This window comes from Homo sapiens, chromosome 12, assembly GCF_000001405.40.
Source record: "Homo sapiens chromosome 12, GRCh38.p14 Primary Assembly".
Taxonomy (NCBI): domain Eukaryota; kingdom Metazoa; phylum Chordata; class Mammalia; order Primates; family Hominidae; genus Homo; species Homo sapiens.
Window position 1 is genome coordinate 112172505 of NC_000012.12, and position 27495 is coordinate 112199999.

General features: G+C 48.9%; 1 protein-coding gene across 2 annotated transcripts in view, besides 6 other annotated features; it reads right to left on the reverse strand.

Annotated features, from left to right (window-relative positions):
• The window catches only part of HECTD4 (HECT domain E3 ubiquitin protein ligase 4), a 222237-nt gene that overhangs the window by 12310 nt on the left and 182432 nt on the right, over positions 1-27495 (reverse strand). For both annotated transcript variants that reach the window (NM_001388303.1, NM_001109662.4), the window contains exons 56-67: positions 22381-22562; positions 20965-21170; positions 20557-20687; positions 20056-20261; positions 18282-18461; positions 11683-12989; positions 10555-10762; positions 6670-6893; positions 6427-6578; positions 4092-4198; positions 3232-3355; positions 167-357 (exon numbers count right to left, since the gene is read on the reverse strand). In NM_001388303.1, coding sequence (NP_001375232.1) covers positions 167-357; positions 3232-3355; positions 4092-4198; positions 6427-6578; positions 6670-6893; positions 10555-10762; positions 11683-12989; positions 18282-18461; positions 20056-20261; positions 20557-20687; positions 20965-21170; positions 22381-22562 — 3218 coding nt within the window. The remainder of the gene's footprint in view (positions 1-166; positions 358-3231; positions 3356-4091; positions 4199-6426; positions 6579-6669; positions 6894-10554; positions 10763-11682; positions 12990-18281; positions 18462-20055; positions 20262-20556; positions 20688-20964; positions 21171-22380; positions 22563-27495) is intronic.
• Positions 6511-7012: an enhancer, noted in NCBI's record as "H3K4me1 hESC enhancer chr12:112616819-112617320 (GRCh37/hg19 assembly coordinates)". NCBI's record gives its function as "activates a minimal SCP1, AML or CMV promoter by ChIP-STARR-seq in naive H9 embryonic stem cells {active_cell/tissue: H9 hESC(naive)}" and the evidence as "EXISTENCE:reporter gene assay evidence [ECO:0000049][PMID:30033119]".
• Positions 7013-7512: an enhancer, noted in NCBI's record as "H3K4me1 hESC enhancer chr12:112617321-112617820 (GRCh37/hg19 assembly coordinates)". NCBI's record gives its function as "activates a minimal SCP1, AML or CMV promoter by ChIP-STARR-seq in naive H9 embryonic stem cells {active_cell/tissue: H9 hESC(naive)}" and the evidence as "EXISTENCE:reporter gene assay evidence [ECO:0000049][PMID:30033119]".
• Positions 10741-11035: a silencer, noted in NCBI's record as "tiled region #5198; K562 Repressive DNase matched - State 9:DNaseU". NCBI's record gives its function as "represses a minimal TATA promoter and a strong SV40 promoter by Sharpr-MPRA in K562 cells {active_cell/tissue: K562}" and the evidence as "EXISTENCE:reporter gene assay evidence [ECO:0000049][PMID:27701403]".
• Positions 11490-12058: an enhancer, noted in NCBI's record as "NANOG-H3K27ac-H3K4me1 hESC enhancer chr12:112621798-112622366 (GRCh37/hg19 assembly coordinates)". NCBI's record gives its function as "activates a minimal SCP1, AML or CMV promoter by ChIP-STARR-seq in primed H9 embryonic stem cells {active_cell/tissue: H9 hESC(primed)}" and the evidence as "EXISTENCE:reporter gene assay evidence [ECO:0000049][PMID:30033119]".
• Positions 12059-12628: an enhancer, noted in NCBI's record as "H3K27ac-H3K4me1 hESC enhancer chr12:112622367-112622936 (GRCh37/hg19 assembly coordinates)". NCBI's record gives its function as "activates a minimal SCP1, AML or CMV promoter by ChIP-STARR-seq in primed H9 embryonic stem cells {active_cell/tissue: H9 hESC(primed)}" and the evidence as "EXISTENCE:reporter gene assay evidence [ECO:0000049][PMID:30033119]".
• Positions 20183-20682: an enhancer, noted in NCBI's record as "H3K4me1 hESC enhancer chr12:112630491-112630990 (GRCh37/hg19 assembly coordinates)". NCBI's record gives its function as "activates a minimal SCP1, AML or CMV promoter by ChIP-STARR-seq in primed H9 embryonic stem cells {active_cell/tissue: H9 hESC(primed)}" and the evidence as "EXISTENCE:reporter gene assay evidence [ECO:0000049][PMID:30033119]".

Genomic DNA, 27495 nt, shown 5'->3' on the forward strand with positions numbered 1-27495 from the left:
CCCTGTTTCGTCAGCCCACTCTTCCTTGCACACCTGGCGCATAGCAGGTGTTCATAAGTGTTCGTTCGATGGACGTCTAAATGAATCTAGCCCTTGTAAATGCCCCTTGTCATGGGGCATGCCCGCATCAGGCAGCAGGGGAGGGGATAGGCCCAGGGCCACATACTCAGGAGACAGGCCACTCTGGGGTCAGCAGCATCCGCGGGGTCCAGGTACACCTCATGGGGATGGAGCCGTGCGGGTGTGATGGCGAGGTGGCGGCATAGCTGGTTGATGTACTGCACAAGTGCCACGTCCATCTCCAGGGTCCACTTTCTTGAGGCCTTCTGTGCATGTCGGACATCGATGCATGCGCACCTTGGGGTGGGGACAGGGGGAGAGGGGCAAAGTGAGGCAGGGCACACCGGGATGACTGTTGCATTTCTCTTACAGAGCCCTGTCCTCAGCTCCTGGAGCACATTCAGAAGACGGCCTCGCCTTCCAGGTTGTTTCTTGGTGCCTGGACAGCTCCTCATGGGGAAAGCTCTTTCAAAAGAAGCAAGCCAAGCATGCCGGTGGGAGTGGGAATGCTGCATCCTTCTGGGAGGTGGCACCATGCACCCACCCATGCCTCACTCCTGTGTGTCGGCAGCAGCACGTGAGGGTGAAGGAGGAGCTCCTAATAGCATCAGCCTGCAGTGTGTCACACAACTTTTTTCTCCTTAGAGACAAAATCTTGCTCTGTTGCCTGGGCTGGAGTGCAGTGGGGCAATCATAGCTCACTGCAGCCTTGAACTCCTGGACTCAAGCGATCCTCCCACCTCAGCCTCCCCAGTAGCTGGGACCACAAGTGCGAGCCACTTTGCTTGCCTAATTTTAAAATTTTAATTTTTTAATTTTTTTATTTTTATTTATTTATTTTTTGAGATGGAGTCTCGCTCTATCGCCCAGGCTGGAGTGCAGTGGTGCGATCTCAGCTCACTGCAAGCTCTGCCTCCTGGGTTCACGCCATTCTTCTGCCTCAGCCTCCTGACTAGCTAGGACTACAGGCGCCTGCCACCACACCTGGCTAATTTTTTTTTTTGTATTTTTAGTAGAGACGAGGTTTCACCGTGTTAGCCAGGATGGTCTCAATCTCCTGACCTTGTGATCCGCCCGCCTCAGCCTCCCAAAGTGCTGCGATTACAGGCGTGAGCCAATGCGCCCGGCCAATTTTTAATTTTTTTTTGTAGAGATGGGGTCTCGTTGTGTTGCCCAGGCTGTTCTTGAAATCCTGGGCTCAAGCCATCCTCCCACCTCAGCTCCCAAAGTGCTAGGGTTTCTAAAACAAGTTCAGAAAACTTGTCCCTGCCACCATAATGCAAGATCCATTCAGGGACTGACTCTGAGCCTTCAACAATGGTACAAAAGGCTGGCACCAAGCAGTAAAGCATTTCTCAATTCTGAAAATGGATTTTTAAAAAAAGCATGTTTTGGTAGCCATTTTCTTTCCTTTTCTTTTTTTTTTTTTTGAGTTGGAGTTTCACTCTTGTTGCCCAGGCTAGAGTGCAATGGCGCAATCTCAGCTCACCACAACCCCCGCCTCCCAGGTTCAAGTGATTCTCCTGCCTCAGCCTCCCAAGTAGCTGGGATTACAGGCGTGCGCCACCACGCTCGGCTAATTTTTGTAGAGACGGGGTTTCACCATGTTGGTCAGGTTGGTCTTCAACTCCTGACCTCAGTTGATCTGCCCGCCTTGGCCTCCCAAAGTGCTGGGATTACAGGTGTGAGCCACCTCGTCTGACTTTTTTTTTTTTTTAAGACAGAGTGTGGCTCTTGTTGGCCGGGCTGGAGTGCCATGGTGCAGTCTTGGCTCACTGCAACCCATTGCCTCCTGGGTTCAAGCGATTCTCCTGCCTCAGCCTCCTGAGTAGCTGGGATTACAAGCACCTACCACCACACCTGGCTGGTAGTAGAGACAGGGTTTCACCACGTTGATCAGGTTGGTCTCGAACTCCTGACCTCAGGTGATCCACCCGCCTCAGCCTCCCAAAGTGCTGGGATTACAGGCGTGAGCCACCATGCTCAGCCTTGGTAGCCATTTTCTTTTTCTTTTTTTTGAGATGGAGTCTCACTCTGTCGCCCAGGCTGGAGTGCAGTGACACAATCTCGGCTCACTGCAACCTCTGCCTCCTGGGTTCAAGCGATTGTCCTGCCTCAGCCTCCTGAGTAGCTGGGATTATAGGCATGTGCCCCATGCCCGGCTAATTTTTGTATTTTTAGTAGAGACGGGGTTTCACCATATTGGCCAGGCTGGTCTCAAGCTCCTGACCTCATGCCTCCCAAAGTGCTGGGATTACAGGTGTGAGGCACCGCGCCTGGCCTGGTAGCCATTTTCATTGATTGATGCCAGGTGCACTTGCTGTGGACAAGGCTGAGTAGGGGCGTGTGTGTGTGTATGTGCACACGTGCGTGAGCCAGAGGGAGGGCAGGGCAGGGTGATTTCTGAAGTGCCTGGGATTCACTTATAGCTAGAAAGGGGAAACCATATTTAGCCCTGAAGCCCTGGCAAGCTGTGGCCTAGCTGTGCCCCTGCCTGGGAAGGAGCGAGGGCAATGTGGACTCGAGGCAAAGTGTGACTCTGAGGATAAGGTTCTTTGGGGTAAGAAACTGTTATGGGACTGAACTGTGTCCTCCCAGTCCCCGAACAGATACGTATGTTGAAGCCCTAATCCCCAGTGTGACTACATTTGGAGACAGGGCCTTTAAAGAGGTGATTCAGGTTAAAAGAGGTCATCAGCGTGGGCTCCTAATCCAACAGGACTGGTATCCTTGTAAGAACAGGAGATTAGGACACAGGTAGGTACTGAGGGAAGACCCCATGTGAGGACCTTGAGAAGGTGGCAGTCTGGGAGCCAAGGAGAGCAGCCCCAGGAGAAACCAGCACTGCTGACACCTTGATCTGGGCCTTCCAGCCTCCAGAACTGAGAGAGAATACGTTTCTGTTGTTTAAGCTCAGTGTGTGGTGTCCTGTCACGGCAGCCCAAGCTGACCAGCACAGTCTCCAAGTCAGGAGTGTGGAGAAAAAGAACAGGTTTGTTTACAAATGGGTTAGAAAACCCATTTAGCACTTAGGAAAAAACTCAGAAATTACGAAATAACTCAGAAAGCATTATCAACAGGGGAGACGGATCAGCTCCTCAGAAATTATGCTCTTGGCTGAAAACAATTTCTATGCAAGGTGCCAACTGAGTCGAGGGGTAACCCTCTTACCTCTCAAAGTGAAGATCGTAACCACAGGACAAGATCGCCCTCCAGACGCTACGGATATCTTGCCTGGCTCGGTCAATAACAAATTTGTGAAATCCTTCCAGCGTCAGGTATTTTTCCTCAGGGACTGGTGGAAAGGGTTCAGTGTGAGGAATCTGGTGAGACCTGCGCACATCGCGCGCCTCCAACGTGCTCTGCTCTCACCACAGCCTCTCCCCTACGGCCCAACCCATCTAATTCCCCTCTCCCTCCCGTAACTCTGGGAATTGTCATTTGCCATTGTGACCCACTGCGCACAGGATACTCATAAGCCCTCATGTGCCCAGGCCCCTGAGGGCTCTGTCTCCCTCAACAGGCTGCAGTTTCCCACATCCCCTCTTTCTATGAATCTCTAAAACATCCCCGACTGACAAAGCAATTTTCCAGACAACAAGAATAGCTTTCTCCAATGCTGCCTGGGCCTTTCTGGAGGCTTGCATTCTATTGCCCCAGCACAGGCCGCTAGCTTAGGCCAGTGCCTTCTAGAACAAAGCGTCCATGCAGATTTCCCAAGCTTCACTTTTCGGTCACAATCATCTGTTCTTTATCCTGGGCATGCGGTGTTTCTGGAACTGCTATTTTACTTCCTCAAGTTCATGGTCATCAAAGATGGCATCGAGGGGCGATCCCTGGCCAGGAATATTTCCCAGAATCTCTGGAAATGCTGTCCTGCCTGATACCCCAGGGAACCCAGAGCCCAGAGCAGAGGCCATCCCAGTAGGAGTGGCCAGTCAGGAAAAGCAGAGGCCTGCTCCTCGGGGGGTGCCTAGTCTCCAGGATGGAAGTAGGTCCCAGCCCACTCCAGGCCCCGTCTGCTCATTCACCTTCTTGTTTTTTGGTAGGTGACTTTTCTGGGTCCTTTTCATCTGGTTTGCTCTTTTCTGGTGATTTTGGCTTCACAGTTGGCTTCTTCTCACTTAAGGCAGTCCTGCTGTAGACCAAAGCACTGGAATTAGACTAATGCACGTTCACACCTCCTCCCGATAGGAAATACACAGCCTCATAGTCATTCATTCCTGCTCCCTCCTCCAACTTAGGGCTTAGGGCTCAGATAGGGCGGGGGCGTTCAAGACCGCCTTTGTTCTGAGTGAGAAAAGTTCACTGAGCAAATTACAAGGACATATCCGTGCCTTAAAACATGAAAAATCTTGTAGAGACTCTTTTCAAACACTCTTTCTACATATTTTAGAGCTACACTGTTCAATAAGGTAGCTGCTAGCCAGATGTAGCTACCTAAGGTTAATTAAAATGAAATATAATCACAAATTCAGTTCCTGTTCACCCTTGCCACACTGCAAATGCCCCATAGCCAGTTGTGGTTAGGGGCTGCTGTACCCACCAGCACGGATATAGATACAGCACTGATTTCCACCAGCACAGAAAAGTACTATGGGACAGTGCTGATTGAGAAACACCATTTCTACATAATGAATTAACTTTTAAAAACCTTTATTTTTCTGGTTAAACAATTCCTCTAGAGATTCTTGCTGGGTAATATTTTGCTATCAAGGTTTCATCTCTGTGTACTCGAGAGTCACAGACCCGTATCTAAAGAATATTCTATTAAATTTATATGCATATCCATACATGGAATGTTATGAGGCTATTTTTTTTTTTTTTTTTTTTGAGACAGAGTCTTGCTCTGTTGCCAAGGCTGGAGTGCAGTGGCGTGACCTCGGCTCACTGCAAGCTCCGCCTCCCGGGCTCACGCCATTCTCCTGTCTCAGCCTCCCAAGTAGCTGGGACTACAGGCACTCGCCACCACGCCCGGCTAATTTTTTTGTATTTTTGGTAGAGACGAGGTTTCACCGTGTTAGCCAGGATGGTCTCGATCTCCTGACCTTGTGAACCGCCCATCTCGGCCTCCCAAAGTGCTGGGATTATAGGCGTGAGCCACCGCGCCCGGCCTATGAGGCTATTTTTTAAAAAAGGAATGGGGAATTCTTTTTGTACTGGTCTGAAATGATTTCCAAAATTAGTATTAAATAAAAATGGCAAGGTATGGACATTGTGTATGGTACCCAACACTGGGCATATGTATAGAATTGCTTCTGTATTTATAGAAAGGGTTCTTCCCAAAAGCTACAGAAGTAACCTTGCAGGCTCAGGGAGGGGAGCTTCAAGGCTTAAGAATGGTCCGGAGGAAGAGTGGCTTTTCACTGCATCTGCTTTTGAATCTTGTACTATTTTGGTCATTCAAAACTTATGAAAATAATATATAGGCATAAATCAAAGGTCATGTACTTAAAAGTAGTTGCTATGCAAGGGGCAATTCAATTTTTTCCAATAGGCACTATGCATTTTCTTTTTCTTTTTTTTGAGATAGGGTCTCGTTCTGTCACCAGTGCAGTGGTGTGATCATGGCTCACTGCAGCCTCGACCTCTGGGGCTCAAGCCATCCTCCTGCCTCAGCTTCTTGAGTAGCTTCTTGAGTAGCTGGGACCACAGGTGCATGCCACCACAGTCAGCTAATTTTTATATTGTTTTGTAGAGATGGTGTTTTGCCATGTTGCCCAGGCTGGTCTTGAACTCCCGGGCTTAAGGCGTTATGCATTTTCTAATCTTTCTACAATAACTATGCATTATTTGTGTGACTAAAAGAAGTAGGATTAAAGAAAATATAGAACATTTTAAATGTTGTCTTCATTTAGATGGGTCGGCTTTCCAGCCTTCATGGTCAGAATCTGACCACACTTGTGGATAAAATGAAACTCTGATGTTCACCTGATGGAGCTGAGGACTGAGAAAGGAGCTCAGCAGAAAGGGCCCAGACACCCACCGGGCACAGTGGCTCCCGCCTGTAACCTCGGCACTGTGGGAGGCCAGTGCAGGCTGATCGCTTGAGCCTAGGAGTTGAAGACCAGCCTGGCCAACATGGTGAAACCCCATCTCTACAGAAAATTTTAAAAAATTAGTCAGGTGAGGTGTCATGTGCCTGTAGTCCCAGATACTCAGGAGGCTGAGGTGGGAGGATCGCTTGAGCCCGGCTGCAGTGAGCTGTGATCGGGCCGCTGCACTCCAGCCTGGGCGACAAAGCATGACAAAAAAGGCCTGACACCAGGCTCCTCCAGAGGAGCTGCCGCCCCTCAGGCTCCTGCTCGGAGGCCTCCCCCACATCTGCCCACAGGCTGGGCTGCCCAGGCTCCTTGGGGCACGCACCTGACGCTGTTGAGCACAGCCTTGTCCTTGGCGGGCGGCTTGGTGATAGGCCGCTTGGTGCTCACCACCTTCACGGGGTGCTGCTCCTTCCCGGCCTTGCTGTACTTGCTCTTGTCAAACTTGGGCTTTGGCACGCCATACTTCCTCAGGATCTGTGGAGCACAGAGGCAGCGGGGAGGCTCTCAGGTTCGCCCTGCAGGGCACCCAAGGCCCGGCCTGGGTATGGTGGGGACGGGCAGCTACCTGGGTGAGCTGATCCTCCAGCACCTTTTTTGGCGGCCGGACATTGGTGAAGAAGAGGTGGAGGAGGTTGCCTGGGGTCTGGGAGTTGATCTGCTCTTTGCTAAGATAAATGTCAGAGACTCTGATGGGCTTCGCTGGTGTCAGGCTCAGCGTCTGCTCTGAATGGGCACAACTCTTAAATATCTCCGTCAGAACCTCTCTGGCTCCGGGCACCAGCTTCTCCCCTGTTGGATGGAGAGGGGGCAAAACAATTCTGCCGTGAACATGCATCGGGACAAGCCCTGCGAGCATTCTGTTTCCAAACACTGTTTGAAAGGGGCAGTGGATGGACATTAGTGGAAGGAAGAGCTGCCCACCAAAGCCTGGCTCCCTCCCTGGGCACAGCCCAGCACATGCCCAGCCTTCCTTGCCGTAAGGTGCGGCCCTGCAACCGTGGTCACTGTGGGATGTGAGCCACATGGGGACCAGGCTGCTGTCCTCTGCACTTGGCCCCTACCTGGTTGCTCGGGGACGACAGGCCCCTCCCCGAGGGTGGGCACACCTCAGTGCTCACCCTCACTCTTATATCTGCAGGGAATTAACTTCCACTGGACTTGAGCCATTGTCCTCCTGGGGCTATTTATCATAGCAGTTTAGTCTAGAATAATCCCAGAGGATAGATAGCCAGCAAGTATTTTTAGTGGGAAGTACAACTTGTTAAACAGGTGATCTCATTCATAGGAAATATTCTTCAAAACTGGCGCAATGAGCAGGTGAAAAAGAGTTTTCTGAGATACAAAAAAACTGTCTATAAGCACCAGAAAAAATATTTTTTTGTCCCCAAACAAGCACTCCAGAAGGTGCTCTCACCTTTCCTAAGGGCCAGTCATGAACCCATCTGCATGCTCTTAGGAATCACTCCGTTCTCCCAGCAGCCCAGGCCCCTCATTCCCTCTGGACTGCTCCCTCTCCTGGGGAGTCTGGCCTAGGCCAGGCCCAGCTGTGGCAACTCCAGCATATCTGGGCTGAGGGTGGGAGAGGCAGGTGTGTGGAAGAGAGAGGCTGAGACCTCAGCTGACTCAGCAGAGTCACAAGTTAAAAACCTTCACATGAGGCCAGGTGCGGTAGCTCACACCTGTAATCCCAGCACTTTGGAAGGCTGAGGCAGGTGGGTCACATGAGGTAAGGAGTTCAAGACCAGCCTGGGCAATATGGTGAAGCAAAATACAAAAATTAGCCAGGTGTGGTGGCGTGTGCCTGTCTTCTCAGCTACTCAGGAGGCTAAGGCATGAGAATCACTTGAAACCAGGAGGTGGAGGTTGCAGTGAGCCGATATGGTACCACTGCATTCCAGCCTGGGTGACAGAGTGAGACTGTTTAAAAAAAAAAAAACAACAACAACAAAAAAAAGGAAACAACCCTCACATGAGGAGTGTACCTAGCACCATGAGGCAGATCCATGCAGTACCAAAAGACCAGGTACCATATGTGGAAAGTTTGACTGTAAAAGAAACAGGAACTAGAACTAAAATTCAGTATCTAAGTATGAGAAGACTGGGAAAGATAATCATGGCAGAAAGACCTCAGGCTTCCTGTTAAGCAGACCTGACATCGACTTTGGGGGCAGCTGAGAGCTGAGGGGGCAAAACGCACGCCAATGTGGGACAAGGCTGGGACCAGGGTGAGCCCACCGAGGTCTTTGCTCAATGCCAGGCAAGATTTAAGAAAACGCCAAAAACCTCAGTCATCAAGATAAACAATACTTTACTGCAGTATTTTAATCAGTCAAAATTATTTAGTAGCACTTGTCAGCTAAAAAAAAAAAAAAATTGGGCACGGTGGCTCACGCTTGTAGTCCCAGCACTTTGGGAGGCCGAGGCAGGCCTCCGCAGGATTACCTGAGGTCAGGAGTTCGAGTCCAGCCTCCACTGCTTGAACCCGGGAGGTGGAGGTTGCAGTGAGCTGAGATCGCACCACTGCACTCCAGCCTGGGTGACAGAGTGAGACTCCATCTCAAAAAAAAAAAAATTAACGTAAAAAAACCTCCATGATGAACAAAATATTTACAGTGCTGTGCTGACCCATATCAGAGCCTGAGGAAGAGAAAAAGATCAGTAATGCTAATCCTATCTTTATTTAAAATTTTAACACTTTGCTGATCATGGATACTTTAATTTTGACTTTAAAAAAACTATACTACAATATTATTTCTCTTACTGACTGAGTTTTTTGGAGCCCCATTAAATTGTGTACCCAAGATCTCACTTACCTCACCCTGATCCTACCTCTGAGGGAACATTTCCAGATTTCATGATTGGGGTAACCATGTTTTTTTTTAAAGATGGGGTCACCCAGGTTGGAGTGCAGTGGCGTGATCTCAGCTCACTGCAGCCTTCGACTCCTGGGCTCAAGTGATCTTCCCACCTTAGCCTCCTGAGTAGCTGGGACTACAGGCATACGCCACCACGCCCAGCTTATTTCATTTTTTGTAGAGACGAGGTCTCACTATGCTGACCAGGCTGGTCTCAAACTCCTGGGCTCAAGCAATCCATCTGCCTTGGCTTTCCAAAGTGCTGGGATTACAGGCATGAGCCACCGTGCCCGGCCTGGGGTAATAATTTAAAACAACAAAACCTCTACTCAATATTACATGTTTTGGCTGGGCGCAGTGGTTCACACCTGTAATCCCAGCACTTTGGGAGGCCAAGGCGGGCAAATCACCTGAGGTCAGGAGTTCGAGACCAGCCTGGCCAACATGGTGAAACCCCGTCTCTACTAAAAATACAAAAATTAGCTGGGTATGGCGGCGTGCACCTGTAATCCCAGCTACTGGGGAGGCTGAGGCAGGGAGAATTGCTTGAACCCAGGAGGTGGAAGTTGCAGTGAGCTGAGATTGTACCACTGCACTCCAGCCCGGGTGACAGAGCGAGACTCTGTCTTAAAAAAAAAAAGATTACAATTTTATACTTCAAAAACATAGAACAACATAGCAACTCTAAGATGAAATTTCAAACATTAAAGAATTACATTAAGGCCAGTGTGATGACTCACGCCTATAGTCCTAACACTTTGGGAGGCCGAGGCTGGAGGACTGCTTGAGCCTAGGAGTTTGAGACCAGCCCGGGCAACATAGGAAGACCCTCTCTGTACAAATAATAAATAAAATAATTTTTTTTAAAGAAAAGAATTTTAAAAAGAAAAAATGAATTAAAAAAGGAAAAAAAGAGGAATTAAAAAAAAAAAAAAGAAATTAGTGGGGAAGCAGAATTTGCTCCACAAAAGAGCCACCAGAATGGCAAAAGGGCTGGAAAATGGGACTTCGGAGAAAAAAGGGACGGAACTGTTTCTTTCCCAGGAGTCAGTTTACAAGGGGGACGCATGAGCTGTCCTCAAGCATATGATGAAATAATTACCAGCAATGTTCTAGCTGCACAGGACAGAACAAAATAAATACACTGCACTTGAACCAGGGGAAGGCTGGCTAGACAAAAAGGAAAAAATGACTTGAATACAAGCCCACATTCAAGCCTGTTGCAGGCGGCGCAAAGCCACCCCTGGTAGCCTCTCCAGCTGGAACGCGGCAGGCCTGTGGCAGGGGCTGCCCCCACGGCCTTCAGCGCCCTGACAGCTGGGAGAAGGGGGAACATTTCTTTTCACATCATACAAAGATGCACATAACCAGCCCCCACTGACAAACAATGGAGCCTCTTGTGCCATCTCACCAACACTCTCTGAATTGTTTTCAAAATCTGCAACCCAGGAGTAGCTGCCAAATTTCTCTTTAATGCAAGATGTTAAAAATAGGGGATACTGGGGAGGGGAGGAGATTTTAATGCAGATTTTTTTCTGTGAGCCTAAAATTGCTCCACAAAAAGTCTACAGATTAAAAACAAATCCAGAACCCACCTTTAATTGACTTATCATTGAAATAATCTTCTAACCCTGGGCTCCCTTGAGTATCAAAGAGACTCTGATTTACTACAGACACGGTTAGAATCTCTTCTGTTGACATTTCCATCAATTCATCTTCACCATCCAAACTTGACAAACCAATCAAGTCATTATTGTTAAATAAACTTGCTCGAATTTTCTCAATTTTGGCTCGGGATCTTATCTGTGTGAACAGAGAACAGGGTCAGGATTTGAGTAGCTTGACCAGTCATTCAGTGTGAGTGAACTTCTCCCTCCCACCTTTTCCTGGAAACCCTCTATTCATCTGCAGAGATGTGAAAGCTGCCCTACTCTGGTGAGCTGGACCTCCTGGGAAACTTTCTCCCACAGGCCAACAACAGTGACTTTTAGCAAATGACTCAACCTGAAATCTCTGTCACTAAACCCCAGCCAGGTCTGTGGCTTTACTCTGATTCCCAGGGAGGAAAAATTCATGCCTAACTCTGAGGAAGTCCCCATGAAGGAGGATGATGGATTCAAAGAAGTGATTCTAGGAAAGAAACCAGCTGCTTGATCCTTCAACCCTCCTTGCAGAGCCTGCTGGGAGAGTAATGCATGTCAGTTCCCTACCTTACTGTTATGCAAAAGCACAGAAAGGCTCTGATGCAGGATTTCTAAACGGCGAGGCCTAAGGAATACATGGGATCCTGAAGTGGAACTATGACTCACTAGCATGCAGGTCATCTGAAACTCAGAATCACCTGGGACAGAATGGCAGGAGTCTATTCTCATGCTGCTCAGTGACCATCCCTCCTGCCAATGGCAACACCAAAAAGAACAAAAAGAACCCAAGGCCATTCAAGATGCGATGGGGCTGAGTCAGAATGCACTGATGGCGCCCACCCACCGCGGAAGGCCAGGCCCTGAGCCCTCTGGCTCCCCTTTACTTCGTGATATGGGACTTGGTGTCACTCAGAGACGTTACCCCAAGCAGCCTCACTGTGCTCATTCCAAGGGCTGCCCCAGGGAGCCCCCAACCGCTCCACCATTACCTACTAGGAAATAACTTTGGAAGATTTAAAGAGGCTTGGGGGATTGAAATGGGTCATGATTTAGTGGTTGCAGAGGCTTGAAAGCTGTTACCTCCACGACTGCGAAGCCTTTGATGGGGCGGGCGGCGAGGGGCTGGTTGTCCAGGGAAGTGACTGTGTACATGGAGCCCATGTCCGACACCGAGGCCGTCTCTGCATTGTCCAGGGGCTCCCCCAGGCTGCCCAGGCTGCCCAGGCTGCCGGTGCTGCACAGGGAAATGTCCAGGCTTTCCTGGCTGGACACCGCGTGGGGCTCCAACAGGCCCGGAGGGATGGGCAGCTCGAGGCCGGCAGGCAGCGGATCCACAGAGAGGTCGCTGACGGTTTGGGAGATGCCCTGCGAGCTGCAGATGGAGGCCTGGCTGGTGGAGGCGGAGGCGCTGATGCTCATGGCGGGGGTCAGGCTGCTGGACGTGCTGACCTCCATGCTGTCTGTGCCGGGGAAGGCCAGTGTCTTCTCGGGCTCAACTTTCCCGTCCCCGCCCTCGGCCTTGTCTTTTGGCTTCTTGGTGTCTTCTTCCTGCAGCGGGATGTAGATCTCGTCTTTGAAGACCCCGCCGTGGGCGTTGCAGGCCTTGCGGATGGCGCCTCTGACTACGCCCTCGTCCAGGTGGGTGGGGATCCCGGAGATCACCAGCAAGCGGCTGTGGGCGGTGGGGCCCACCAGGGCCTGGCAGGCATCGGCGATGGCGTCACTCGTCACGCCCAGCCCCTGTGGGTCCTTCCTGGTGAGGTGGCGGAGGATGATGAGCAGGGTGAGTGCGCGGTGGAACCACAGCATGTCCTCGGGCTTGCTGCCTCCGATGCTGAGCACGGTGGGGTCCGAGTCCACGGTGCGGGAAGACTGGCGCTTGCCCGACGAGGAGGCCTTTTCCCGCTTCATCTTGACTTTTTTCCTCTTGGAGAGGAGGCTGGGACTCTGTGGGGTCTGTCCTGGGGAGGACGAGGAGGAGGAGGACGAGTCACTGAGATTTGGGGCGGTCGCTGAGGTCACCCCACTGGCTGTGACACTCATGTTAGTAGGCAGGGTCACTTCGGCCACAGCCAGGCACCCTTCCATGAGTGCATGAAAATACGTAGAGAACCTGCCCTGGTCACCGGCCGCCGCCCCCCCGGAGCCCCCGCAGGCGCCGCCTGAGACCCAGTTCTGCGTCTCCTCGTCGTACAGCTTGTGGAGCTCCGACTGCAAGGCCATCAGCATGGCCAGGCAGGGGTTCAGCTGGAGGGCGATTGAGGAGGACAGGCCAGCGGGGTGCCGCCTCTGCTCCAGGGTGTGCACCGTGCGCAGGAGCTCTGCCAGGAGATGGAAAACAAGCTCCTTCACGCAGGCTGCCATGTCCGTGGTCCACAAGAAGTTTCCTGAGGCAAATGAAAATAGTAACAGTAATTACTATGCAGCACTGGCTATGTTCCAGGCGCAGTTCTGAGCCTGGAATCAACCCTCATAACAACCCTGTGAACACTGACTGCGCAATTCAGTCCCTTCTTACAGATGGAGAAACAGAGGTTGGGAGGTGGAGGCCTGGCTGGAAGGCACAACAGCTACCAGACAAGAGAGCTAAGATTCAGAGCTGACAGGTCAGCTCCAGAGGTGACGGCTTTGACCCTTGTGCCCAATGGCAGGGTGCCAGCAAAACACCATCATATTTTGTCTCAAAAGGTTATGCAGCATGTTGGTGATAAGTCCCTAGAATAATGTTTCCCAAAGTACTGGATGCTTACTATGGGGCACACAAGCCAATTTTACCAAACAGCACTGAAACACACACTGAAACACTGTTCCTTTTAAACTCCTCTTTTAGTCCTGATTTTTGCCAACAAGAAAGCCTTACTTTGAGGGTGGCATTATTTATTTTATTTTTCTTTTTTGAGACAGGGTCTTGCTCTGTCACCCAGGCTGAAGTGCAGTGGCACAATCATAGCTCACTGTTGCTCCTAGGCTCAAGTGATACCTCAGCCTCCTGAGTAGCTGGGATTACAGGAGTGTGAGACCATGCCCAGCTAATTTTTGTATTATTATTTTTCTTTTGCAGAGACAGTTTTCATGGTTTTGCCATGTTGCCCAGGCTGGTCTAGAACTCCTGGGCTCAAGCAATCCTCCCACCTCAGCCTCCCAAAGTGCTGGGTTTACAGGTGTGTGCCATTGTGCCTGGCCATGAGGCTGGCATATTCTTTTTTTTTTTTTTTTTTAATTATTTTTTTAATAATTTTTTTTTTTTTTGAGAGTGAGTCTTACTCTGGTACCCAGGCTGGAGTGCAGTGGCGTGATCTCAGCTCACTGCAACCTCTGACTCCTGGGTTCAAGCAATTCTCTGCCTCAGCCTCCCGCATAGCTGGGATTACAGGCTCCTACCAGCATGCCCAGTTAATTTTTGTATTTTTAGTAGAGATGGGGTTTCACCATCTTGGCCAGGCTGGTCTTGAACTCCTGACCTACCTCGTGATCCACCCGCCTCAGTCTCCCAAAGTACTGGGATTACAGGCATGAGCCACTGTGCCCGACCTTCTTTAGTAATTTTTTAAGCTGCTTTTTTTTTTTTTTTTTAAATTGAGACAGAGTCTGTCTCTTATCACCCAGGCTGGAGTGCAGTGGCGCGATCTCAGCTCACTGCAACCTCCGCCTCCCAGGTTCAAGCAATTCTCATGCTTCAGTGTCCAGAATAACTTGAATTACAGGCATGTGCCACCACACCCAGCTAATTTTTATATTTTTAGCAGAGATGGGGTATCGTCATGTTGGCCAGGCCGGTCTTGAACTTCTGGCCTCAAGTGGTCCGTGTGCCTCAGCCTCCCAAAGTGCTGGGATTACAGATGTGAGCCACTGTACCTGGCCAAGGCTGGCATATTCTTTTTTGTTTTTTTGAGATGGAGTTTCGCTCTTGTTGCCCAGGCTGGAGTGCAATGGCGTGATCTTGGCTCACCGCAACCTCCGCCTCCCAGGTTCAAGCAATTCTCCTGCCTCAGCCTCCCGAGTAGCTTGGATTACAGGCATGCACCACCACACCCGGCTAATTTTGTATTTTTTGTAGAGACAGGGTTCCTCCGTGTTGGTCAGGCTGGTCTCGAACTCCCGACCTCAGGTGATCTGCCCACAGCCTCCCAAAGTGCTGGGATTATAGGTGTGAGCCACTGCGCCTGGCCGGCTGGCATAGCCTTAAGAGAAAGTGGGCCAGAGTCCCAGAGCCTTTGACAGGGAACAGCATTCAGCTAGATTTTTGTGACGGCAACTATTTTCTTTGAATGTATGTATGTATGAATGGATGGATAGATGGACTGATTGATTGATTGAGACAGGGTCTCATTGTGTTGTCCTGGCTGGTCTTGAACTCCTGGGCTCAAGCCATCCTTTTGCCTCAGCCTCCCAAAGTGCTGGGATTACAGGCGTGAGACACCAGGCCCGGCCTGTATTTATTTTTATGGGTACCTGTTAGTTATGCCAATGGATACTAATTTTGTATTTAAAGAAGTGATGTAAAGGTTTCCTTTCCTTTTTTTTTTTTTTTTTTTTTTGAGACGGAGTCCCACTCTGTCGCCCAGGCTGGAGTGCCGTGGTGCCATCTCGGCTCACTGTAAGCTCCGCCTCCTGGGTTCACACCATTCTCTTGCCTCAGCCTCCCAAGTAGCTGGGACCACAGGCGCCCGCTATCACACCCGGCTAATTTTTTGTATTTTTAGTAGAGACACGGTTTCACTGTGTTAGCCAGGATGGTCTTGATCTCCTGACCTCGTGATCCGCCCGCCTTGGCCTCCCAAAGTGCTGGGATTACAGGCATGAGCCACTGTGCCCAGCCAAGGTTTCCTTAAAACTAAATTTAAGTTTTAAAAAAGGAGGAGTTGATTGCAATAAAAACTGTTAAATATATGCATGCTGGCTGGGCTCAGTGGTTCATGCCTGTAATCCCAGTACTATGGGAGGCCAAGGCAGGTGGGTCACCTGAGGTCAGGAGACTGAGACCAGCCTGGCTAACATGGTGAAATCCTGTTTCTACTAAAAATACAAAAAAATTAGCTGGGCATGGTAGCGGGCGCCTGTATTCCCAACTACTCAGGAGGCTGGGGCAGGAGAATCACTTGAACCCAGGAGGTGGAAGTTGCAGTGAGCTGAGATCGCACCACTGCGCTCCAGCCTGGGTGACAGAGTGAGACTACATTTCAAAAAAATAAAATAAGTAAGTAAATAAATGCTGACAGGCACAATTTGTGGACATGGAAACAATCATATAATGGTGGCATGATAATGACTGAAGTTTGGGAAACACTGTCTAGAACCACAAGATGGACCACACGTTTGTGCCAAGGTCTCCTTCATACCAGAGGCATATCTTACATTCACATAGTCATGTACCCTGGATCTGAGTGGAAAGAGAGAAAGCTCATGTACGTGAGACACGATTAGGGATCATGAACATCTAAAGCCTGTGTCCCACTGAGCCAGCTGAGCCCTTACCCTGCAAAAGAGTGAACTGCAGTTTGCTACATCCAGATGGCTCTTGTACAGGATAAAAGATTACTGGCCGGGGGAATCCCAAGGGCCTGCTGAAGCTGACTTACTAAGTCCAGCACCTACCAAAGAGGGGATCAAGCTTCCTGCTCTCTCAGGACTGACACTGCTTGCGAATTCTGGTTGGAAACAAGTTTGTGACTGTCCTGGAACATGGGCTCTCATAGAACCTCCACAGAGGACAGGTGTCCTTGCTCCCCTCTCTGCTGGGGCACAGGGCTAGGCCCTCAGATGCCAGAACTATTCATGTCACCTCCGTTGTCCTTGCTCTACCATTTAGCATTCATGTAAGACGACCTTGGAGAGAATTCTTCACCAAAATTGCACATGACGGCCTATGCGCTGAAACTTATTCTCAGACAGTGTTCTCTGCTTACGTCCCCCCTATCCACTCCCTGGGTGTTTTTTATTTTTTGCAGAGAAAGGGTCTGGCTATGTTGCTCCATATCCTGAACTCAAGTGATCCTCTTGCCTCAGCCTCTCAAAGTGCTGGATCATAGGTGTGAACCACACTGCGCTTGGCCCTCCTAGGGTGTATGAAAGCATTTGACTTGGTTGCCAACATTTAAAAATTGAGAAATTCACATCAACATTTGGATTCCTGGATTTTCTTGAAATAAGAAATTACGGTTCCAGGCCGGGCGCAGTGGCTGATGTCTGTAATCCCAGCACTTTGGGAGGCCGAGGCGGGTGGATCACGAGGTCAGGAGATCGAGACTATCCTGGCTAACATGGTGAAACCCTGTCTCTACTAAAAATACAAAAAATTGGCCAGGCGTGGTGGTGGGCGCCTGTGGTCCTAGCTACTCTGGAGGCTGAGGCAGGAGAATGGCATGAACCCGGGAGGCGGACTTGCAGTGAGCTAAGATGGCGCTACTGCACTCCAGACTGGGCGACAGAGCGAGACTCCGTCTCAAAAAAAAAAAAAAAAAAAAAAAAAGAAAGAAATTACGGTTCTGGCAGAAGCAGGGCCATGTTCTCCTGCAGCAGTGGATGACAGGGCACGTGTCCTCTGTGCCTCCAGCTCACCAAAGTCCCCCTGCCAACTTTCCTCTTTATTTCCCTCATTTAGCTGATCTGTTTGAACCCTGAAGGCACTGAAGGCATCCGAGTGTGCAGTGTTTTCTGTTTTTTTGAGATGGAGTTTCGCTCTTGTTGCCCAGGCTGGAGTGCAATGGCGCAATCTTGGCTCACTGCAACCTCCGCCTCCTGGGTTCAAGCGATCCTCCTGCCTCAGCCTCCTGAGTAGCTGGGACTACAGGCATGCACCACCATGCCCGGCCAATTTTTTGTATTTAGTAGAGACAGGGTTTCATCATGTTGGTCAGGCTGGTCTCCATACTCCTGACCTCAGGTGATCAACCCGCCTTGGCCTCCCAAAGTGCTGGGATTACAGGCGTGAGCCACTGCGTCTGGCCCGAGTGTGCAATGTTTTCTTCCCTGCAACATTATGGAAAAATTCAAAAATATAGAAAGCCTGAAGAAATTATACAGTAAACACCTGTGCACTTACCAGCTAGATTCCACCATAAACATGTTGCTGTATTTCCTCTACTACATATCTGTCTACTCCTCTATTCATCCACAAACCCATCTTAGTTTTTGATTATTTCAAAATAAGTTGTAGACATCAGTATGCTTCATCCCTAAACACTTAAGGAGGCATATCATTAAAGTTTAATATTTATTTAGAATTTGTTTAGGTAAATTTGCATATGGTAAAATGCACAACTTTTACATTTATCATTCCATGAGTTTTGCAACCTTTTTGACCCTTTGAGGAACTATGCAGTTATAACCTTTGATTTTGCAACATTGTTCATTTCCACACCACCCTTCACCCCTAAAGTTACAATAATGGCATATACTTCTGTTTTAAAGTAAAGTGGATAAAGTTAATCTTATTTTCCTGGTTAGTTTCCAATCCTCAAAATAATGAAAATACCCAGCAAATCATGGATTTGGGAGTCTAGGTTGTACCTTAAGATCTATTCCCCAAGCCCACTTCAAATGACAGCAATCTGAAGGAGGCTGCAGCTGCCTGGGCTACCTGTGGCCACTCCCTACACCACCTGGCAAGCTCCTTCCTCAGGCACCATGCCAGCTCCACCCCCACCCTAGATTCCGATCCCCAGGGAAGGCAGCCTCACCTAGCAGCTCCACCACCTGCAGGAGGACGGATGTCGGAATGGTGTCAGGCTCATCTTCGGACTTCCCTTCACTGTCCTCTGATTTCCAGGACAGCAGCTGCTCTGCGAAGGCCATAGCCAGTGGGAACTCCAGGGGCAGGGAATGTAACACCAGGACTGCTCCAGGAGGTGGAGACACCCCTGCAAGAAGCACCCAGGAAGAAAGCAGATGATTGGCAGCACCTGACCCAAATAAGCCTCACAAAAGGTCCTGCCAGGTGTGCATGTAGAAACAGGGCTGGAGAGCCCACCCACTCATCTGCTCCAGCAGGAGGACACATAACTCCTGACACTCTGGACAGTGGGCTGCAGGGACACGAGGAGATGGAGGCCATCCCTCCAGGGAGTCCGCTTACTGGGGTGGATTTGGCAAATGGGACAAAGAACGGAGATGAGAACAGAGGACACACACTTGTCATTCAGTTAGATACCAACCAGAATGGGGAAAGTAAGTAACACTTTAAAAGATGCCTCACTGGGATATTCCCAGCTTGGTAAAGAAATAATCAGTCCTTTGGTATGGCTGCAATCCCACTAAGACCATTATGCTTATTACAGTGGACCAGCAAGGGGTCCCCAAGACTTAAGACTACTGGCACCTTGGGTTTTGATTATCTTATCACCTTTTGTCACTGCCATGGCCTACGTGTGACCAAAGCTGTCTACAGTGAGAGGAAGAAGGTCCAAGGCTTGATCCCCCTCACATCCTGCACTGCCCCTGAAGCCCCTCTATAAACACCAGTCAGACAGAAGCCAGGGCATCAGAGGGCTTTGGACAAGTCAGAAGCAAACCATATTGGCTTGTATACTCTGGGGTGAATGTTTACATAGTGATAATTGTGGAATGACAGAGATCCTCTGTTTTAAATGTAAAGTTTAAAAAACAGCTAGTATAGGAAAAATACTATGAAAAACAGACTCTAATAAAAAAGACCATAAAGTTGTTTAGCAATGACCAAATCACTGAAGAAATGTTCTTTCATTTCATTCCCTAAGATGCATTGTCTCAAGGACTGGGGTGTGGAGAAGCCCAGGCCTGTTATTTTGGCTAAAAGTTCACATGTTTTCTGTCTCTGGCAAACACGCGTCAGTCTTTTCCTGTCAAGCATGCCAAGGAGGAGCAGTGGAGGCCTGTGATGAGGATTTCCTTTCTTTTCTGTGCATACTCAGACACAGAGCCAGCAGGCCCTGGTGCATACAGAGGACAGGCAGTGACAGTTTCAGGGCATGTGGAGGCAGAGCCCTCATCTAACTCTAAAACGATGGAGGCTTCAAAAAAATGCCCAGGAGATGAGAGCAATCGAGCTTCCAGTTAGTTGAGGAGCAGACTCTCACAGTGGCCAGTGCCCTGGGGAGCCATGTTGAGAATTTGGTTAATGAGAATTCAAGGAATGGCAACTGGGATTATCATAGCCTGAGCCAGCTGTAAGGATGTGATTGCTCTGGTTGTATCATTCTAAACAGACACATCTCAGCACATACTTGTGAAAAGAAAGGAAATCTCCACTGTAGTCTGGACAGCATCTGTCAGGCCTTCCCTAGGTAGGAAAGATAAGTCTTTTAATTTACTGCCTCTAAAAGAAGCAGCAGTTTCTTCCAGAAGTCCCCAGAAGTCCTATTCTTTATCAATAGGAACTGGAACATGCAAGGTACAAAATTCATTATAGCTTCAAAAAGAAGGCAAGAGGAGAATGACTCCAGCTGTTCTCATCATGACAAGCTGCTGGAGACTCACCCAGTTTGATGTGGACCCTGTCTGTGGAGAGGACCACAGAGGGGTACTGGTCAGCGGTGGGGGGAGGTGCAAGCCCAGTGTTGGCTGGGGACGCGTCCCGCGGGTAACAGGCGGCCTCGATGAGGTTCAGCTGGCCATTTCGCTTCACTTTGTGGCCGAGGCCATATACGAGCACCCGTGCCCACGGTGCCTTGTACAGAGAGGAGCTGAGAAGGAGGGATGGGTGGGTGTTAATACAGGGTCTAGCCATGCACATGGGGACAGGCAGCTTTGCCTTCTCACCAGGGGACGTTAGATGAGAACTGGGCCCAAGTCATTTCCACCACACTTTGGAAGGTCATTCTTTATAGACTAATTCCCCAAACATAGAAATATGGAGAGAATTGTAAGTCATTTGCATTAAAGAATCAGTGATTTGAATTTTTTTCCTTGGCCAGTTTCACCAGAATTCATTTAGCTTTCCTCTCCCCATCACCATCTTCTTGAGAACAGGCAACTTACTCTTTGCGGAATCCAGATTGACTTTCTTTACAAGACACAACAACAAAAGCTGCCCCGGGGAAATTCACGTCCATGTTGACTTTGGATTCGGAAATTGGGAACTCTTCGGAGGGGAACTGCTCTGGTGCTGTCTGCAAAGAGACACTGAATAAGGAAAGCCACGGGCTAAACACAGGGACAGCATTTCATCTTCTCATCTCACATGGCCCAGGAAATCAGCCAAACGACTAAATAGCCCTCTGGAAGGAAGCAAGCTACAGATGAGATAAAGCAGAAAAGCTTCTAGGAAAAGGAAATCGAGAGGAATAGGGACTTGGAAGGGAAAGGGGAGTCATTTTCAGCAAGCCAGTGAGACTCCCAGTTAAAAATGGTAACCACACTGCAGGAACATGAGCTTTAGACTTCTACCTGCAGGAAAGAGCAGATCTGTTTCGTCAGCTCTAAAAGGCTCTCCTCGCCCTGGTGCAGGGTCCGGGTGATGGCCACGTTGAGCCACTCTCTCACTGTCTGGGAGTTGCCCTGGTAAAAGAGGTCCGTGGCGGAGCAGTTCTGGGAATGGATGCAATGCTGTAAAGACTGCGCCAGGAGGATCGAGCTGGAGCTGATGGTGCCGTCTGGGGACGGAAAGGAAACAGAAGTTGACAAGAATCAAAGCAGCCAGTAGCTGTGAGAGTCTAAGTAACAGAAAATGAATAACCCATCCAGAAACCCCAGATGGGAGGGTTATCCTGGATATGATGTCCTGGATAACAGATGCCGGCAATCAGATCCTCTGCACCAGGATGGTGGAGGGGGACCCAGGAGATCAATGGGCTTCATACTTTTGCTTTCTTTTCAGCTGTGAAACTGTTGCCTAAAATAAAATCTACACAGAGGCCCAGGTCTACGAAATATATCAAATGGGGCTGCTTGGATCCAGGGGTTCCCAGAGCCTGACCTGTCTGACTACTCTGGCCCACCCCCGCAGGGTACCTTAGGGCACAGCCTGTAGAGAAACTTGTTAGATCATCAGGGCAAAGCTTCTGCCACCACATTTGATGCTTTCCAGGTATATTTCAGGGCATCTAAGTTCTTGGGATGGGCTGTGGACCCCAGGCGCTCATATGGACCAGTAGCGATGTAGTGCACACATACCCTGGCTGGGTGGGACCCCACAGTTGTGAGCTGGAGGGCAGCTACCCAGGATGCTGACTGAGCCTAGATTGCTATCTGCAAGTGAGCTTTGAGGGGTGTCCCCTGCCTGCCTCACTTCTTGTTCCCATCTTAGTTGCTGGGAGATCGAGGCGGCAGGCTGGAGGCTGAGATGCCAGGGGAAGACAGAAAGGGCCCCTGAGTCCTGGATAGTGCTGAGGGCAGACTCATCACCTGGCATTCACTGGGGATCAGACACAGCCCTCATGCCAAGGGCACACAGGCTGGCCTTTGGAACAGCCTCAGCAGAACTTATGATGAACCAAATAGGTCTGCTTTGGAGGACGCTGATGACAGGAACATCTCCTTTCTTTCTAATGTCAAATAGAATGTCTGTGGCAACAATACAGTGACTTGGTTTCATAAGTAATACTTAATTTTCCTTGATCCACAATTACGTTGGGAAACTTGATGAATGCTTAACAGAGTAATGACTCAAGTGAGTAATCCATTACATTTTTCGAAGAGTGAGAAAGCCCTGCCAGGAGAATCCCAGTTCCTGCGTGCAATTTCTCACGTGAGCCTATGCGCACCATGAGGCATTTCTCGCCCTCATGCAGGGAATGACTACACTGTGCACAGCGCCCGCCTGGTGCTAAGTTCCAGAGTGACAGCAGCAAAGCCAAGTTTTACCTGGGAGAGGAGGTGCGAGGAGCTGATTGGACAGCAGTTGCAGGTGCTCCAGGGTAATGTCCCGGATGGCAGGGATGTGGAAGAGGCGAGTGAACAAGTGAGGCAACTTCGGGGCGAAGATATTGAGCAGGGCCATGCGGCAGTACAGCCTGGCCAGCGCAGCCTCGCAGCGCAGCAGCTCCCTGCAAGGGAAAAGGTGGGTGAGATACTCAAAGCCCTGATGCTCCGGCCCCCATACCGGGACCAGGCCGCAGGTTCTGAAGGAAAAGGATCCTGCCTCAGGCTTCTCTTCCAGCCTGATGTTCCAAACCCTAAAGGAGTCACTTGAGTTTTAAACAAAAGTCACATTAAGTTATATTGTTACGTTTGATTTTTCCCAGCTCAAAAAAGCACTGTAGGGAAAAAAATAAAAATACATGTCCGCACAAAAATTTGTACATGTATGTTCATAGTAGCATTATTCCTAATAGCCAAATAGTGATAAGAACTCAAGTGTCCATTAACTCAATGGTAAGTCTATACAATGGGGTATTTTTCAGCCATCAAACAGATCAAAGACTGACATACGCCACAATGGGAATAAACCTTGAAACATCATGTTCTCAGTGAAAGACACCAGATACAAAGGGCCACATATTGGATTCCATTTCTGTAAATTGTCCAGAGGAAAATGCATAGAAACAGAAAATAGATTGGTGGTTGTCAGGAGTTGGTGGGAAAGGAGGATGGGAAGTAACTGCTATGGATATGGGGTTTCTTTTGGGGTGATGAAAATGTTCTAAAATTGATTGTGGTAATGGTTGGACAACTTTGTGAATATAATAAAAACCACTGACTTGTGTACTTTAAATGGGTGAATTGCATGGTATGTAAATTATATCTCAATACAGCTATTATAAAAATACCATCGTGGGCATTTTTTTATGTGATGAATTAGTAAAGTGATCGGCATTCAACTTGAATAATAGCTCATTAGTGCCTAAGCACGTCTTATGGGCCAGGCGCAATGGCTTACACCTGTAATTCTAGCACTTTGGGAGGCCAAAGCAGGAGGATTACTTGAGGTCAGGAGTTTGAGACCAGCCTGGGGAACATAGTGAGAATCCCTCTCTACAAAAAATAGAAATCGCCCTGTAGTCTCAGCTACTTGGGAGGCTGAGGTGGGAGGACTGCTGAGCCCAGTAGTTGGAGGCCACAGTGGGCTATGACTGTGCCACTGCACTCCAGCCTGGGTGACAGAGCAAGACTCTGTTTCTAAAACACAAAAACCTAGGCCCCAAACTCACTCTGAACCCACGGGGGTCATTTGATATTCCTACTGACCCTAATTAAATTTAATGCTGGTGTATCATAATTCAAATTTAGGTGTAATGGCAATTAAAGAAACAACCCCATATGGAACACTTGATGAGTGTATGTGTGAAGTGAAGATAAACAAAAAGAAGACAGCTAAGAAACTACATCGTAGGTGGTTTCTTCCTTATCAACACCAGTCTGTGTGGTTCTCATGCCAGGATGAACAATAAACACACTTCTCCTGTCTCCTCCCTCCTTGGAAGCCCATGTGTTCACTGCATTAACAAAGCACATGAGGACCACGGCAACAAAATTGGTAAGGACTGAATGGGCAAGCTGAGAACCCCACGGTTCTCCCCTTGGCTTTCACCTCAGACTTTATAGGCAAAGTTACCAGGGACGGAACTGTTTGTTTTGTTTTCTTGGGCTTTTTTGAGACAGGCCCTGTTGCCCAAACTGAAGTGCAGTGGCGTGATCATAGCTCACTGCAGCCTTGACCTCCCGGGCTCAAGCAATCTTCCAGCTTTAGCCTCTTGAGTAGCTGGGACTACAGACATGCGCCACTGCTCCTAGCTAATTTTTTCTTATTTTTGTAGAGACACGGTCTCTCTCTCTCTCTTTTTTTTGTTTTTTGAGATGGAGTCTTGCTTTGTCACTCAGGCTGGAGTGCAGTGGTGTGATCTCGGCTCACTGCAAACTCCGCCTCCCAGGTTCAAGCGATTCTCCTGCCTTGGCCTCCCAAGTAGCGGGGATTACAGGCGTGTGCCACCATGCCTGGCTGATTTTTGTATTTTTAGTAGAGACGGGGCCTTACCATGTCGGCTAGGCTGGTCTCGAACTCCTCACCTCAAGTGATCTGCCCACCTCGGCCTCCCAAAGTGCTGGGATTATAGGCGTGACCCACTGTGCCCAGCCAAGACAGGGTCTCTCTATGTTGCCCAGACTAGTCTTGAACTCCTGGGCTCAAATGATCTTCCTTCCTTGGCCTCCCAAAGTGCTAAGATTACAGGCGTGAGCCACTGCGCCTGGCTATGAGCTTGTTTTGGGTCTGACCTGCAGCCCTGGTTTGGACACTGTACACTGCTAATGCCTCTGAAGCCACTGCTGCTCTAGCCTCTGTTTTCCAAAATCCTCTTTATTTATTAAAAAAAAAATTTGAGACAAGGTCTTGCTCTGTTGCCCAGGTTGGAGGACACTGGTAATCATGGCTCACTGCAGCCTTGAACTCCCAGGCTCAAGCAATGCTCTTACCTCAGCCTCCCACTTAAATAGCCAGGACTACAGGTATGCACCACCAAGCCCAGCTAACCAAAGTCTTCTTTAAAACCACTGTGAGTGCTTTAGCACAGAATACAATCTTGATGAAAATCTGTGCCAGGACCAGAAATCCAACCACCGAATGATCACACAGATCTGCATGGCATGTTTCCTATGTCTTCCAATACCAGGACCACCGCATTAACACTGATTAAACATCCTACACTTGTAAGTTGATTGTAACTCTATAAGGACTTTCTTGCCTTCTCTCTCAGTTGCTAGTCAGCAGTCAACAGGTTTCATCTATCAAAGTTGTTTGCTAAAAAAAATGACCAAAAGACTTATTAAATAAAGCTTTAAAAGCTTTTAATAATACCATGTTGATATTCAAGCATGTATGTTTGGGGACCCTTTTCAGCATCTATTTTGAGTCTACAATGTGTGTCAGGGCCTAGCTTAGGCACTGGGGACTCTAGCAACCTCTGCCTCCTGGGATCAAGTGATTCTCATGCTTCAGCCTCCCGAGTAGCTGGGACCATAGGCACATGCCACCAGACCCGGCTAATTTTTGTATTTTTAGTAGAGATGGGGTTTCACCTGTTGGCCAGGCTGGTTTTGAACTCCTGGCCTCAAGTGAACCGCCCACCTCGGCCTCCCAAAGTGCTGGGATTACAGGTGCAAGCCGCCGCACCCGGCCCACAAGAACAAATTTTAACAAACAAGCAAAATAACAGCAGTAAAAACATCAGGTCCTGGGAGAGCATTAAAATACTGTAGTTTCCTGACAAAGAGCGCATGGACAGTCACCTTAGATGGTGAGGGCAGAGCTTTTTGAAGAGGTGAGTATTCACTGAGATCTGAATTACAGAACGAGACAGCCAGGGGGAGCTCTGGGCCATCCCTAAGGAAGCAACACACTAGCTGTGTGAGCACCACAGAGGAGGGGCTGCCAAGCTCAGAGGCTCCTGTGGGGTTCTGTGAAGCAGGTTAGGTTTGAATGTACTCCATGGGAAGGTCTGCATTAGAGGAGGGAGAGCTGATTTCTGTGTCTAAAAGATCGCTCCAGCTGTTGTGGAGAGGAGAGTTGAGGCCTGGGCTGTCGTGGTGGAGGTAGGAATGGAGACGTGTGCAGATGGGGACATATTTTGGAACAGTCAATGGCACTTGCTGATAGCTCTCTTGAGGAAAAAGGATGGTTTGTGGTGCCCCTTCCAGATATGGGGAGGCCAGAGGCAGAGGAGATTTCAGGGAAAAATTCAGATTCCACCTCACACGAGAAACTTTAGGGGCTTATGAGATTATTTGTGAGTTAAAGGTCAACAAAACCCTATCCTTGTCTACCTCAGAACTGCCCTTGGTTAAGGTGTTTTAAAGTCAGTTCTTCTGAAAACCTGACAAAGAATGTCGGCAACATCACAAGGCACTGCTTATGATACTAGTGACCCCTCACAGGCAAGCTGTGTCTAAATGGGGAGGACTGTGAAGAAGAACATTCTTGGTGGGAAGCCACAGCTTCAAGGCTTCTGGAGCATGGTGATGCTTGTAACTGGGCATGCCTCTTGCTGGAATCCCTGGAAGCCATGCCTGTGGAGTATTCACAAGAGATGTCAGCTTGGATTAGGACACGGGGCTGTTGAGCCGCCGGCCGCAGGAGCCCTGCTGTGGGACATTTCTCCTTCACACCTGAGTTGACACTTGGGTAGGTATGTAGGTGGGGTCAGTAGGTAGGGTCAGGGAATAGCCCCTGAACTTCTATGTGGACGACTGTGAGGACCCCTGTTGAAGAAACATTTGTGATATTGCCCTGTGGTATGCCTACTTCCTGTCCTGTATCTCGCTAAGTAAAGCTAAGAAAGTCATATGTGACCTATTTTGGTCTTGTGAATTTGACTGACTCATTGAACTTAAGATCACCCAAACGCTGCAATGCAATCTCAAGTGGAGATGGTCTATCTCAAGAGGTCTTGCCGTCTAGATAGATAAGCATATCTGGAGTTCCAGTGAGAGATGAGAGCTGGAGATACACTCAACTTGATTCAAAATTGTCAACATCATGAGAAATTGTGATGGCTAATGGATGAACAGCATGAAAAATAGTTTCTGGAAATTTTTATTAGAGAACTCCATTTATTATTATATTTTCCTCTGAATTATTACAAGACATTTTAAGATGGAAAGGAATAATTCTCAGGGGAATTGGCAATGGTGAACATGAGGGAGCTTTGCCAGATCTTTAGGTTTCAGCCCACTGAGGGCAGGCACATGCCTTGAACACCTTCTCTTCTGGAAGCCTGCACAGTGCTAGGCACATAGAAAGCACTCAAGCAATACCTGATTGGCTTCACAGCGAAAGGAGCTTACACTGTACCTGGACATCTTCTTACCTTTTCTTGACTTGCTTTACTCTCCGTAACTTTCTCCACGCTCTTCCAATCCGTGGAATGTGATGGCTATTCATCCATTAGCTATCACGATTTCTTGTGATGTTGACAATTTTGAATCAAGTTGAGTGTATCTCCAGCTCTCATCTCTCACTAGAACTCCAGATACGCTTATCTGTCT